The 15,336-nt window shown below is 40.5% G+C and overlaps 1 protein-coding gene across 14 annotated transcripts in view; it reads left to right on the top strand.

Moving 5' to 3' along the window:
- LATS1 (large tumor suppressor kinase 1) overlaps positions 1–14,290 on the top strand; it is a 59,949-nt gene extending 45,659 nt beyond the window's left edge. For 5 of the 14 annotated variants that reach the window (XM_017011474.2, NM_001350339.2, XM_024446583.2 and 2 more), the window contains 2 exons: positions 3,323–3,421; positions 10,205–14,290. In XM_017011474.2, coding sequence (XP_016866963.1) covers positions 3,323–3,421; positions 10,205–10,714 — 609 coding nt within the window. In that variant the 3' untranslated portion in view covers positions 10,715–14,290. Of the gene's footprint in view, positions 1–3,322; positions 3,422–3,673; positions 3,783–7,800; positions 9,252–10,204 lie in introns of those variants that run through there. The other 9 variants (NR_073033.2, NM_001350392.2, NM_004690.4 and 6 more) reach the window with 5 other exon arrangements.
- Positions 14,291–15,336: the final 1,046 nt, after the last annotated feature.

The following is a 15,336-nucleotide window of genomic DNA, read 5'->3' as shown; positions in this document are numbered from 1 at the left end:
GAGGTCAGGAGTTTGAGACCAGCCTGGCCAAATTGTGAAACCCTGTCTCTACTAAAAATAAAAAATTAGCCAGGCATGATGGCAGGCACCTATAAACTCCAGCTACTCAGGAGGCTGAGGGAGGAGAATCACTTGAACCTGGGAGGTAAAGATTGCAGTGAGCTAAGATTGTGCCACTGCACTCCAGCCTGGGTGACAGAGCGAGACTCCATGTCAAAAAAAAAAAGAAAAGAAAAGAAATCATAGATCTTGGCCAGGTATGGTGGCTCACGCCTGTAATCCCAGCACTTTGGGAGGTCAGGTGGGCGGATCACTTGAGGTCAGGAGTTTGAGACCAGCCTGGCCAACTTGGCGAAACCCCATCTCTACTAAAAATACAAAAAAAAATTAGCTGGGTGTGGCTGCACACACCTGTAATCCCAGCTACTCGGGAGGTGGAGACAGGAAAATAGCTTGAATCTGGGAGGAGGAGGTTGCAGTGAGCCCGTACAGTGCCACTGTACTCCAGCCTGGGCAACAGAGTGAGACTCTGTCTCAAAAAAAAAAGAAAGAAATCATAGATCTAAATAAGTGGAGACACATACCATGTTCATTGATTGGAAGAGTTAATGTAGTAAAGCTGTAACTTCTCCTGTAATTAATGTGTAGGTTTAACTCACCTCCAGTCAAAATCTCAACAGGATTTTTTGTAGATATAGGTGAGTCAATTTTAAAATTTATATGGATGGACAAAGAAAGTAGAATAGCAAAATCGATTTTTAACAAGAAAAGTTGGAGGGTTCAACTACCTGATTTTAAAATGTACTGTGAAGCTTCAATAATGTAGACAGTAAGATAGTGGCAAACAGATACACACTTAGATCAATGGAAGAGAATATAGAATGCAGACATAAGACCACACCACTATGGCCATTTGATCTTTGACAAAGGTGCAAATGGAAAAATGATAGTTTTCCAACAAATGGTATTGAAAAAACTGGTCAGCCGTATACAAAAAAACTGAACATCAGGCCAGGTGCGGTGGCTCACGCCTGTAATCCTAGCACTTTGGGAGGCCAAGGTGGGTGGATCACCTGAGGTTAGGGGTTTGAGACCAGCCTAGTCAACATGGCGAAACCCCGTCTCTGCTAAAACTACAAAAATTAGCCAAGTGTGGTGGTGCATGCCTGTAATCCCAGCTACTTGGGAGCCTGAGGCAGGAGGATCTCTTGAACCCAGGAGGCAGAGCTTGCAGTGAGCCAAGATCATGCCACTGCACTCCAGCCTGGGATGACAGAGCGAGACTCTGTCTCAAAACAAACAAACAAACAAACAAACAAAAAAACAACTGAACCTCAAGTGACCTCACACCTTTACAAAGATTAACTCAAACTGAGTCACATATATATAGATAAAGCTTAAAGCTATAGTACTTTTAGAAGAAAACATAGGAGAAAATCTCTGTGGGCTGGAGTTAGGTAAAGAGTTCCTAGAAATGACCCCAGAATCATGACCCATAGAAAAAAAAATTCATCAAAACTAAGAACTTTCCCTCTACCACAGATAACAGTCAAGAGAAAAGACAAGCTACAGGCTGGGAGAAAATATTTACAAATCACATAGCTAAGAAAGGTTTTTTAAAACTATAATATATAAAGAACCCTCAAAACTCAACAGTAAGGAAACAAATAACCCAAGCCAGTGACCTGACATGTTTCTTTAAATGTCTGGGTCAAAAAAAGAAATGGATCTCTGTCTCTTTAAATCTGCCAGAGCAGGTCAAAGAAAGGCAGGCATCTGTGCTAGTCCCTCAGGGAATCACTAACACCAACCAAGATAGACAACCTCAAATTTTTGGAGGGCAGAGTTCTTACTGCCCACCTTGGCACTAACGAGCTGCTCCAGGAAGGCAAGCTGTGGTTTTCATGACTGCTGCAGGACTGAGGAATGGTAGATGTAGTGGGTTCACACACGCTGCTGCCTGAACCAAATTTTAGCAGCCTCTCCCTTCATGAAGCACTCTCCTGGCTGCTGTAAGTATCTGATCAGGTTCCAAAGTTCCAAAATAGTTTATCCTGATAGTCTTTTTCCAGTTTAATTATTTTTAGGGAAGGGTGGACCTCTGATGCTTCCTACTCTGCTATTTTCTGTGATGTCTCCTTCTACTGTGGTTTTTACTATTATCTCTTTGTATGGTTTTTGTTTGTGGTTGCTCTAGTGACTACAAAATATATATTAAGTTTTCTTTTCTTTTCTTTTCTTTTCTTTTCTTTTTTTTTTTTTTTTTTTTTTGAGATGCAATTTCACTCTGTTGCCCAGGCTGGCGTGTAGTGGTACAACCTCATCTCACTGCAACCTCCACCTCCCAGGTTCAAGCGATTCTCCTGCCTCAGCCTCCTGAGTAGCTGGGATTACAGGTGCCCTCCCCAACACCTGGCTAATTTTTGTATTTTTAGTAGAGACAGGGTTTCACTGTGTTGGCCAGGCTGGTCTCAAACTCCTGACCTCAAGTGATCCACCTGCCTCGGCCTCCCAAAGTGTTGGGATTACAGGCATGAGCCATCACGCCCAGCCTAAGTTTTCACTATCTACCTAGAATTTATACTTTACCACTTCAAGTTCAATGTAGAACCATACTGCCATATAGGTCCCTTTATTCTCTACTATTTATGTTGTAGTTATTTGATTTTTCTTCTTTTTTCCTTTTGACAAGGTCTTGCTCTGTCGCCCACGCTGGAGTGCAGGGTCGTGATCTCAGCTCACTGCAACCTCTGCCTCCCGGGTTCAAGATTCTCCCGTGTCATCCTCCCAAGTAGCCTGGATTACAGGCACATGCCATCACGCTTGGCTAATTTTATTATTATTTTGTAATCAAGACTAGTCACTATGTTGCCCAGGCTGGTCTTGAACTTCTGGGCTGAAGCAATCCTCCCACGTTGGCCTCCCAAAATGTTGGGATTGCAAGCATGAGCCTGCACCTGGCTTGTAGTTATTTTATACATTACATCTACATACGTTTAAAACCTCATCCAGCCAGGCACGGTGGCTCACACCTGTAATCCCAGCACTTTGGGAGGCCAAGGCAGGTAGATCATGAGGTCAGGAGATCGAGACCATCCTGGCTAACACGGTGAAACCCCGTCTCTACTAAAAGTACAAAAAATTAGCTGGGTGTGGTGGCAGGTGCCTGTAGTGCCAGCTACTCAGGAGGCTGAGGCAGGAGAATGGCGTGAACCTGGGAGGCAGAGCTTGAAGTGAGCCGAGATGGCGCCACTGCACTCCAGCCTGGGTAACAGAGAGACGCCGTCTCAATCAATCAATCAATCAATCAATCCTTATCCAGCCAGGTATGGTGGCTCACACCTGTAATCCCAGCGCTTTGGAAGGCCACAGCAGGAAGAACACTGGAACCCAGGAGTTTGAGATCGGCTTGGGCAACATAGTAAGACCCTGTCTCTACAAAAAAATTTTTTTAATTAGCCTAGCATGCTGGTGTGTGGCAGTACATGCCTACAGTCCCAGCTACTTGGGGCGGGGGCACCAGTAAGTGGGAGGATCCCTTAAGTCCAGGAGGTCAAGGCTGCAGTAAGAGCTAAGAGTGTACCACTGCACACCAGCCTGGGCAACAAAATGTGACCCTGTCTCAAAACCTACCTCATCCAACAATGTAACAATTTTGCTTTCAACCATCAAGTTCTTTTAAAGAACTCAAGGTGACAGGCTGAATGCAGTGGCTTATGCCTGCAATCCCAGCACTTTGGGAGGCTGACGCAAGAGGATTGCTTGAAGTCAGGAGTTCAAGACCAGCGTGAGTAACAAATCATAGACAGTGTCTCTACCAAAAAAAAAAAAAAATAGCTGGGCATGGTGGATGGTGGCACATGCCTGTGGTCCCAGCTACTCCAGACACAAGAGGATCACTTGAGCCCAGGAGTTTGAGGCTGTAGTGAGCTATAATCATACCACTATGCTGTAGCCTGAGCAACAGAATGAGACCCTGTCTCTTAAAAAAAAAAAAAATCAAGATGAGAAGAATAGTCATTTATGTTTACCTGGATATTTAGCGTTTTCCTTGCTCTTCATGCTTTCCTGGTGTTTCAAGATTCCTTCTCTATCATGTCTCTTCCATCTGAACAACTTCCTAAAGCAGATACTTTAGAGCAAGTGTGTTGACAACAGAGTCTCTTAATTTCTCTTCATATGAGAATGTCTTTATTTTGCCTTCCTTAGAATATTATCACTTGAGGCCGGGCGCAGTGGCTCATGCCTGTAATCCCAGCACTTTGGGAGGCCAAGGCAGGTGGATCACCTGAGGTCAGGAGTTTGAGACCAGCCTGGCCAACATGTTGAAACCCCGTCTCTACTAAAATATAAAAATTATCTGGGCTGGTGGCGTGCACCTGTAATCCCAGCTACTTGGGAAGCTGAGGCAGGAGAATTGCTTGAACCCAGGAGGCGGAGGTTGTAGGGAGACAAGATGACACCACTGCACTCCAGCCGGGGCGACAGCCCGAGACTCCATCTCAAAAAATATATGTATTATCACTTGATACAAAATTCTGGGTTTTAGTTCTTACAGCACTTTAAAATGTCTACTTCCTTCTGTCGTTCATAATTTGATGAGACATCTGCAATTATTCAGATCTCTCAAATAATGCATTATGTTTCTCTAGTTGCTTTCAATAATTTTTTTTCTGTATCGTAATTATGATAGGTCTGGGCATGGATTTCTCAGGCTTTATTCCGTTTGGTATTCACCAGGCATCTTAAATCTGTAGGTTTATGTGTTTGATCAAATTTGGGGTGTGTTCAGCCATCATGTCTTCAAATATTTATCTGTACCACACATTTTCTTTTGTGATGTTAATCACAGGAATGTTAGGCCTTTTGGTGTGGTCCCACAGATTCCTGAAGTTCTACTTATATTTTAAGTTTTTGTTTTTTCTGCTGTTCAGAATGAGCAGTTGATTGAATTGCATAATTAGTATCCACCTCCTTTTTTTTTTTTTTTTTTTTTTTTTTTTTGAGATACAGTCTTGTTTTGTTGCCCAGGCTGGAGTGCGGAGGCATGATTTCAGCTCACTGCAACCTCCAGCTCAAGCTCCTGGTTCAAGTGATCCTTCCACCTCAGCCTCCTGAGTCGCTGGGACTGTAGGCACACCACCACACCCAGCTAATTTTCTGTATTTTTATTAAGACAGGGTTCTCACCATGTTGGCCAGGCTGGTCTCCAGCTTCTGGCCTCAAGTGATCCACCTGCCTCGGCCTCCCAAAGTGCTGGCATTACAGGAGTGACACCACCGTGCACAGCCAGTATCAACCTATCTTCAAGTTCACTGATTTTTTTTCCTCTGACATCTTCACTCTGCTATTGAGACTATCCATTGAGTTTTTTATTTTGGTTATTTTTCCATTATAAAATTTCTTTTTGATACTTTATATCTTCAATTTCTTTGCTGAGACCTATCTTTCATTTCATGAGTGTTCATCCTTATTTGGAGCATTTTTTTTTTTTTTTTTGAGACAGAGTCTCACTCTGTTGCCCAGGCTGGAGTGCAGTGGCTCAATCTCTGCTCACTGCAAGCTCCGCCTCCTGAGTTTACACCATTCTCCTGCCTCAGCCTCCCGGGAGTAGGTGGGACTACAGGCGCCCACCACCACGCCCGGCTAATTTTTTGTATTTTTAGTAGAGGTGGGGTTTCACCGTGTTAGCCAGGATGGTCTCGATCTCCTGACCTCGTGATCTGCCCACCTCGGCCTCCCAAAGTGCTGGGATTACAGGCGTGAGCCACCATGCCCAACCTGGAGCATTTTTATAATGGCTACTTTTTTTTTTTTTTGAGACAGAGTCTTGCCCTGTTGCCCAAGCTGGGGTGCAGTGGCACTATCTCGGCTCACTGCAGCCTCCGCCACCGCCTCCCGGGTTCAAGCAATTGTTCCGCCTCAGCCTCCCAGGTAGCTGGGACTACAGTTGCTCGCCACCACACCCGGGTAATTTTTTTGTGTTTTTAGTAGAGACGGGGTTTCACCGCATTGGCCAGGCTGATCTCGAACTCCTGACCTTGTGATCTGCCCGCCTCAGCCTCCCAAAGTGCTGGGATTACAGGCATGAGCCACCGCACCCGGCCTATAATGGCTACTTTCAAGTTTTTGTCAGAAAATTCTAGCATCTATGTCATATCAATACTGACTTTTTCTATGTTGAAATTTTCTGTTTTTGTTTTTTGTTTGTTTGTTTTGTATACTAAGTTATTTTGGATTGTATCCTGGACATTTTGAATAATATGTTATGAGACTCTGGATTTTTTTTTTTTTTTTTTTTTTGGAGACGGAGTCTCTCTCTGTCACCCAGGCTGGAGTGAGTGCAGTGGTGCGATCTCGGCTCACTACACCACCCAGGTTCAAGCGACTGTCCTGCCTCAGCCTCCCAGGTAGCTAGGACTACAGGCGTGTGCTACCATGCCCAGCTAATTTTTGTATTTTTAGTAGAGACGGGGTTTCACTATGTTGGCCAGGCTGGTCTCAAACTCCTGACCTCAGGTGATCTGCCTACCTTGGCCTCCCAAAGTGCTGGGATTACAGCGTGAGCCACCGTGCCCAGCCAAGATTCTGGATCTTATGGAGAATTTTGACCTTGTTTTGACAAGCATTAAACCCGGTTGGGTTCAGGCCACAAGTTCCAACCAGTCTTTTTTGATTTCAATGTCAGTTTCAAAGGCTTTTCCTTTCTAGGCAGATAGATCTCTTTGTAGGCTGTGGTCTTTTCCTTAGTTCAGTTCTCAAAGTCTTTGGTATGCTCCTTAGGATTAGATCCACATAGTTACAGTTTGGAGGGGGAGCCCAGCAGTTCATAAGCAACTTAATGGGGTCACTTGCCCAATCTCCTCCCTCTCTGTGATGTCCCCAGTACTTTCCTGTTCCCTGGGGCTCCCTATTTAGTTCTCTGACCAGAAAGTGAGGCTTTACTTATCCAACTCTGCCAATATCTCATAACTGCATCTGAATCCAGGACAAGGTGGCAAAAGGACACAGAGAGAAAACGAGCAACAGAGATTCAACCCATCTTCTTGGGACCCCATGCTTTATTAATTTATATATTTATGAGATATTGTCTCACTCTGTCACCCAGGCTGGAGTGCAGTGGCACAATCTTGGCTCACTGCAACCTCTGCCACCTGGGTTCAAGTGATTCTCCTGCCTCAGCCTCCCGGAGTAGCTGGGATTACAGGTATGCACCACCACACCCCACTAATTTTTGTATTTTAATAGAGACGGGGCTTCACCATTTTGGCCAAGCTGGTCTCGAACTCCTGACCTCAAGTGATCCACCCGCCTCGGCCTCCCAAAGTGCTGGGATTACAGGCGTGATGAGCCACTGCACCCAGCCCCATGCTTTGTTATTTTATTTACAATTGGAGAGGAAGGTTTGGCTGTCAGTTTTAGGTGCATACTGGCTCTTATTGCCACCTCCGTTGCTACCAGGAAACTCCTTTTCTACTCCCTGAGCCTGAACTAGAGGGAATTCTCCTAGAGCTCTCTGTGCTCAGCTTCTTCCAAGTTTTGGGCTACCTTGAGTCCAGCCTGCAGACTACTAGAGACAAAAAAATGGAGCTGGGTGTGCTGGCAGAGGCCTGTAGTCCCAGTTACTCGGGAGGCTGAGGTGGGAGGATTGCTTGAGGCTAGGAGTTCAAGACCAGCGTGGACAACATAGTGAGAATTAATTTTTTAAAAAAATAATTTTTTTTAAATGGTCACCAGGTTTAATGGTACTTCAAATTTACATCTTCTCCCCTAATCTACCTGTTATTATTTACTTTTCAGGATCTTGAAGTAGCTGCTTCCTGCATCCTGACCAGGTTTTATAGCTGCCTTCTGTGGGAGGGAGACAGGAGAGTATATGTAGTACATCTTCCTCAAAACTGGGACCTCTCTGGTTGCTTTTAGGGTTTTCTTCTCTTTAACTTTGGTTTTCTTCAGTTTGACCATGGTGTGCCTATGTGTAGTTTTCTTTGTATTTTTCTTGGTTGAGATTCACTCAGTTTCTTGAAATGTACATTAATGACTTTCATCGATTTGGGGAAATTCTCTGTCATTATCCCTTCAAAGATTTATTTTGCTTTCTTACCTTTTGAGACTCTAATGATTATACATGTGCTATTCCTTTGATACTGTCCTCCATTTCTCTTATGCTTTATTCTTTCTTTTATTCTACATGTTTTCTCTCTGTGCTTCAGTTTATATAATTTTATTCATCCATCTTTGAATTATCTGAATCTTTTGCTGTGCTCTTTTTTTTTTTTTTGCCTTAAACTGAAAAATCCTAAATATACCTTAAAATAAAAAATATTAAACTTGGCCAGGCACAGTGACTCACGCCTGTAATTATAGCACTTTAGGAGGCCAAGGTGGACAGATCACTTGAGGTCAGGAGTTTGAAACCAGCCAGGCCAACATGGTGAAACCCCGTCTCTACTAAAAATACAAAAAAATTAGCTGTGCGAGGTGGCGGGCACCTGTAATCCCAGCTACTCAGGAGGCTGAGGCAGGAGAATCGCTTGAAACCAGGAGGCAGAGGTTGCAATGAGCCGAGATCACGCCACTGCACTCCATCCTGGGCGACAGAGCAAGACTGTTTCAAAAAAAAAAAAAAATTGTTCATCTCATTGTGTATATTTTTTATTTCTCCTGTTTGAAATAAGTGATGAAACTGGAAGCATAAATAACTATTATTAACTGTATCATTTTTTTTTTCCAAAAAGGGTTTTTAAAATATTCTATTATTAGTTGAAGCCTCTCCATTTTCTAATCTGGGATAAGACTTTAAAAGGAACAAATAATAGACGAGGGAGTATATTTTTCTTCCCTCTATAGTAGCTGACTAGCTCCTCTACAAATAAGGAAGATTATACTGTTCATTTATTCAGCTTTTTAAAAAATATTTATTGACTGCCTACCATGCAACAAGTTGAAGATTTTTTTTCCCTCTTTTGAGACAGGGTCTTGCTCTGTCGCCCAGGCTGGAGTGCAGTGGCACAATCACGGCTCACTCTAGCCTCGACCTCCCTGGGCTCAGGTCATCCTCCCACCTCAAGTAGCTGGGACCACAGGTGTACACCACCAACCTGGCTAACTTTTGTATTTTTTGTAGATATGGGGTTTCACCATGTTGCCCAGGCTGGTCTTGAACTTCTGGGCTCAAGCAATTCATCTACCTCGGCCTCCCAAAGTGCTAGGATTACAGGTGTGAGCCACAGTGCCTGCCCAAGTTAAAGGTATCTAAACTTGGTTAAATGACAATGCATTCTACCACTTAACAGAGTTTGCCCCAAATCCATTTAATATCGTACTTGGAGTTGTATACCAATTCCCCTGCCTCCAAGAGTTCAGCGGGAGAGACTAGGTAGTCTTAGGTAGTCTGGCTTCACTTGGCATTCCTTTCTTCATCATTTCATTTTATTCATAACCAGAGATTTTTCTTTTTTTTTTTTTTTTTTTTTGGAGACAGTGTCTCGCTCTGTCACACAGGCTGGAGTGCAGTGGTGCAGTCATGGCTCACTGCAGCCTCAAACTCCTGGGCTCCAGGAATCCTTCTGCTTCAACCTCCTGAGTAGCTAGGACTACAGATGCATGCCACCATACCTGGCTAATTTTTAAAGTTTTTTTGTAGAGAGGGGGTCTCGCTTTGTTGCCCAGGTTTGTCTTGAACCTTCCCGGCTTCAAGCAGTCCTCCCACCTCCGCCTCCCAGGGTGCTGGGATTACAGGCAAAAGCCACCACGCTTGGCACCAGAAAAAGTTTTATCAAACATGTATTAAGTATGTGCCAGGCAATTTACTGAGCACTAGGAGATACAAAGACCACTAAAACATAATCCCTAGCCTTAATGGATATATTTCAGTAGGACATAAACATAAATAGGTACCACAAGCTATTAGAAATATGATAGAAATAAATATATGGTACAGGGGAGGCAGAGTAGAAGTAGTCACTTCTACCATAGGCCAAAAGGTTTACTAGGGGAGATTAAAACTGACAGTGAGTCTTATAATGTGAGTAGAAGTTGCTTGGAGAGGATGGGATAGGAGAAAAAATTATTTTCCAGCAAAATATCATGTAATTTATTTAAAATACAAAAATAGCCCAGTGAGACTTTTGGTATAAAACTTGAAGGAAATCTTTATTTTTCTAATTTATCTCTTCCCCCTAATTTTAAAAAATCTTTAAAGGTTATCAACTGGCAAACATCTCTTCACATTCCACCACAAGCTAAACTCAGTCCTGAAGCTTCTGATCTTATTATTAAACTTTGCCGAGGACCCGAAGATCGCTTAGGCAAGAATGGTGCTGATGAAATAAAAGCTCATCCATTTTTTAAAACAATTGACTTCTCCAGTGACCTGAGACAGCAGTCTGCTTCATACATTCCTAAAATCACACACCCAACAGATACATCAAATTTTGATCCTGTTGATCCTGATAAATTATGGAGTGATGATAACGAGGAAGAAAATGTAAATGACACTCTCAATGGATGGTATAAAAATGGAAAGCATCCTGAACATGCATTCTATGAATTTACCTTCCGAAGGTTTTTTGATGACAATGGCTACCCATATAATTATCCGAAGCCTATTGAATATGAATACATTAATTCACAAGGCTCAGAGCAGCAGTCGGATGAAGATGATCAAAACACAGGCTCAGAGATTAAAAATCGCGATCTAGTATATGTTTAACACACTAGTAAATAAATGTAATGAGGATTTGTAAAAGGGCCTGAAATGCGAGGTGTTTTGAGGTTCTGAGAGTAAAATTATGCAAATATGACAGAGCTATATATGTGTGCTCTGTGTACAATATTTTATTTTCCTAAATTATGGGAAATCCTTTTAAAATGTTAATTTATTCCAGCCGTTTAAATCAGTATTTAGAAAAAAATTGTTATAAGGAAAGTAAATTATGAACTGAATATTATAGTCAGTTCTTGGTACTTAAAGTACTTAAAATAAGTAGTGCTTTGTTTAAAAGGAGAAACCTGGTATCTATTTGTATATATGCTAAATAATTTTAAAATACAAGAGTTTTTGAAATTTTTTTGAAAGACAGTTTTAGTTTTATCTTGCTTTAACCAAATATGAAACATACCCCCTATTTTACAGAGCTCTTTTTTCCCCTCATAACCTTGTTTTTGGTAGAAAATAAGCTAGAGAAATTAAGCCATCGTGTTGGTGAGTGTTCCTAGGCTAATGATAATCTGTATAATTCACATCCTGAAACTAAGGAATACAGGGTTGAAAAAATATTAATATGTTTGTCAGAAGGAAAAATAATGCATTTATCTTCCCCCCCACCCCCCGCCCCATGGAATATTTAATCTATTTAATCTTCTTGCATTTATTTCTCAAGAATTACTGGCTTTAAAAGAAGCCAAAGCACTACTAGCTTTTTTTCCATATTGGTATTTTTGATGCTGCTTCCAATTTTAAAAGGGAACAAAGCTGCCATAAATCGAAATGTTCAATACTAAAAGCTAAAATATTTCTCACCATCCTAAGCAGATAATTATTTTAATTTTCATATACTTTTCCTGTATAGTAACTATTTTGATTATATCATCAATGTTACCTGTTTCCTCTTTCAGAACAGTGCTGCATATACAGATTGTTATTGGCAAAGGAAAATCTGGCTATCTGGCAATATTTTACCTAAGCGCAGATTAATTGGTGAAAAAATTAACTCTTAAGATGGCCATTAATAATTAGGAAAGTTTACAGAGTGGTCTTAGTAGAAAATTCAAGTCCTCCTAATTTATTTAAGGTTCAATAATGCGTTCAACATGCCTGTTATGTATAACGCTTAGGTTCTAAGGAAGATTAAGGTTTCATACCAAAATACATGTAGCTTATCTTTTAGGAAGGGGAAAAAGGCTCCATTTTGACCATAGTAAAATTTGTGTTGTGTTTTATTTCCTTTTCTTAAGCTCCACTGATAAGGGATTGTTTTTATCAAAAGTTACTATTTGTAGATTGGAGGCATAATTTTAGTGATTTTCATACTTTTAGCTTTCTTCGCATAAAAGCTAATTGAAACCGTATATGTAGTAAAATTAAAGGCAGAGCTGTTGCAGTTGAATTGGAGAGTTAGGGCAAAGAACACTTATTAGCCCACACTTCCCACCTTTCTACAGGTGGTCCTTTCAGAGCTCAGCCTGAAAACCCACTACTGTGTTATCGTGCGTCTTTTGGGGTTAGTGGTTCTTTTGAGAATCTGAAGGAAGCTGTGGACTCTTCCTAGAAAAAAAAACCACACATACACATACAATGTTGCATGCAGTTTCAAGGGATTTTGGACATATTGAAACCTATCACAGGCTGTAGGTTATGGACCTCTGTGCCATGAGAAAATTGATACATTAAACTAAGAACTTTGTTTTTAACTTACCAATCACTACTCAGCACATCTTATATAAGCTGATAATTTGTGATGGAAAAGGTCTGTAGCATGTGATATAAGGTGACCTTATGAATGCCTCTCTTGCTGGTACATTAAGTTGTTTTAATATATCATTTGGAGGGGACTGAAATGTTAGGCTCATTACAAGCTTGATACAGAAATATTTCTGAAGGATTTCTAATCAGAATTGTAAAACAATGTGCTATCATGAAATCGCAGTCTTCACCTCATGGTTCATGGAACATTTGGTTAGTCCCATAAAATCCTATGCAAAACAAAGTAGTTCAAGAATTTTTAGGTGGGTAGTCACATTTATAAGGTATTCCTCTTACTCTTTGGGCTTTTTCAGTCTGATTTATTTAAATTTTCATTTAGTTGTTTTACTTTTGGACTAAGGTGCAATACAGTAGAAGATAACTTTGTTACATTTATGTTGTAGGAAAACTAAGGTGCTGTCTCCTCCCCCTTCCCTTCCCACAAAATCTGTATTCCCCCTATTGCTGAAATGTAACAGACACTACAAATTTTGTATTCTTTTTTTGTTTTTTGTTTTGAGACAGGGTCTCACTCTGTCACCCAGGCTGGAGGGCAGTGGCGCTTCACAGCTCACTGCATCCTCAACCTTGGGGGCTCACGCAGTCCTCCCGCCTCAGCCTCCCAAGTAGCTGGGCATGCGCCACCAAGCCCAGCTAATTTTTGTATCTTTAGTAGAGATGGGGTTTCGCCATGTTGCCCAGGTTGGTGTGGAATTCCTGGGCTCCAGTTATATGCCCACCTCAGCCTCCCAAAGTGCTGGGATTACAGACGTGACCCACCGCGCCTGGCGCAAATATGTATTCTTTTAAAATTTCCTCTGATACTATAAGCTTTTTGCATTTATCTGAAGCAGTATACATGCCTTTGGTATCAGCAATTTTAACAGTTTGGATATACTTATCAGCTATCTTATTCCAAAACTACATCTACTTCTTCCAGTATAGAATCTGGTGCTTCCTGACCAAAAAGATGAGAAAAACAATGTTAAAAATATAGATGCTTTCCATTGAAATGGAGTGAAAACATTGGTTCTATATGTTTTCTTTTAAAATAATTTTCTTATTAAAAACTTGCTGTCTTTATTATACTTACCCTTTTTATGCATATCAATAGTATTTATAAGATGTGTTCTATAATTATGTAATTGTAGATACTGTTATGCATTGTCCAGTGACATCATAAGGCAGGCCCTACTGCTGTATCTTTTCTACCTTCTTATTTGTAATAGAAACTATAGAATGTATGACTAAAAAGTCACTTTGAGATTGACTTTTTTAAAAAGTTATTACCTTCTGCTGTTGCAAAGTGCAAAACTGTGAGTGGAATTGTTTTATTCTGACTTAATGTGTTAGAAATTAGAGAATACAGTGGGAGGATTTTTAGACATTGCTGCTGCTGTTACCCAAGGTATTTTAGATAAAAAATTTTTAATAAACATCCCTTTGGTATTTAAAGTGGAACATTTAGCCTGTTCATTTTAATCTAAAGCAAAAAGTAATTTGGGTCAAAATATTGGTATATTTGTAAAGCGCCTTAATATATCCCTTTGTGGAAGGCACTACACAGTTTACTTTTATATTGTATTGTGTATATAAGTATTTTGTATTAAAATTGAATCAGTGGCAACATTAAAGTTTTATAAAATCATGCTTTGTTAGAAAAAGAATTACAGCTTTGCAATATAACTAATTGTTTCGCATAATTCTGAATGTAATAGATATGAATAATCAGCCTGTGTTTTTAATGAACTTATTTGTATTTTCCCAATCATTTTCTCTAGTGTAATGTTTGCTGGGATAATAAAAAAAATTCAAATCTTTCAATTATGTGTGGAAAGCTAATTTTTACACTGCTTAACTATGTTGTTTTCTGATTCAAAAATTTATGTAAATCTTTTTATTCTCTGAGAAAGTTATGATTAAAATTTTGATGCTTTGGAATTAAAATAACTAATGATAGTACTTAGGTTAAGGCAAACTGAGTATCATGTAAATGTCAAATGTTTTCATTTAAATGTTTTCATTTTGTCCAATATAAGTACAATATTTCCTGTTAAAGGCTTCCATTAGATTACAGGTTTAGAATTTAATGATTAAGTTCTACATTCAGTACCATTTGATTATGGTATATAATTTTTTAAATGTAAAATTGTTGGTTAGTCTGTTTTCCTTTATAATCCTTTTTGTTTGTTTTATTTCTTAGAGATGGTCTTGCTCTGTCACCCAGGCTGGAGTGCAGTGGCAAGATCAAAGCTCACTTTAACCTCGAACTCTGGGCTCAAGCTGTCCTCCTGCTTTTGTCTCCCAAGTAGCTAGGACTACAGGAGTGTGCCACCACACGCAACTAATTTTTTATTTTTATATTTGTAGAGATGGAGTCTTGCTAAGTTGCCCAGTCTGATCTCAAACTCCTGGATGCAAGCGATCCTCCCGCCTCTGCCTCCCGAAGTATTGGGATTACAGACCTGAACCAGTGTCAAAATATATATGTTGATATTATATCTTATATCAACTTTATATGGATAAACAAGTACTGTTTTTCATCCTCTTTTCAAGCTTTACCATCATTAGATCTTCTTTTATCCTCTTGTTTGCACTCCCTTGTAAGTTTGTATTTGTTCTACATAAGGCTGTTGTACAGCTGACACAAATTGCATTATTCCTATGATTTATTGTGCTACATTGTGGGCCCACATTTGGTGTACTTAAAATTGTGACTATACTTTGCTACACACACACACACGCGTGCACATCTGCTTGTGTATGTGAAGAGTAGAGGGAGGTTGCCAAACAGACAGTTATTGTCCAGTTTTTCCTCCTTTCTTTCAGTAACGGAGCTACCCAGAGATTCCAAACATTTTGCTGGATTT

This window comes from Homo sapiens, chromosome 6 (assembly GCF_000001405.40).
Source record: "Homo sapiens chromosome 6, GRCh38.p14 Primary Assembly".
Classification (NCBI taxonomy): Eukaryota; Metazoa; Chordata; class Mammalia; order Primates; family Hominidae; genus Homo; species Homo sapiens.
The sequence above is the reverse complement of the archived record's forward strand: the minus strand, read 5'-3'. Positions and strand labels throughout refer to the sequence as shown.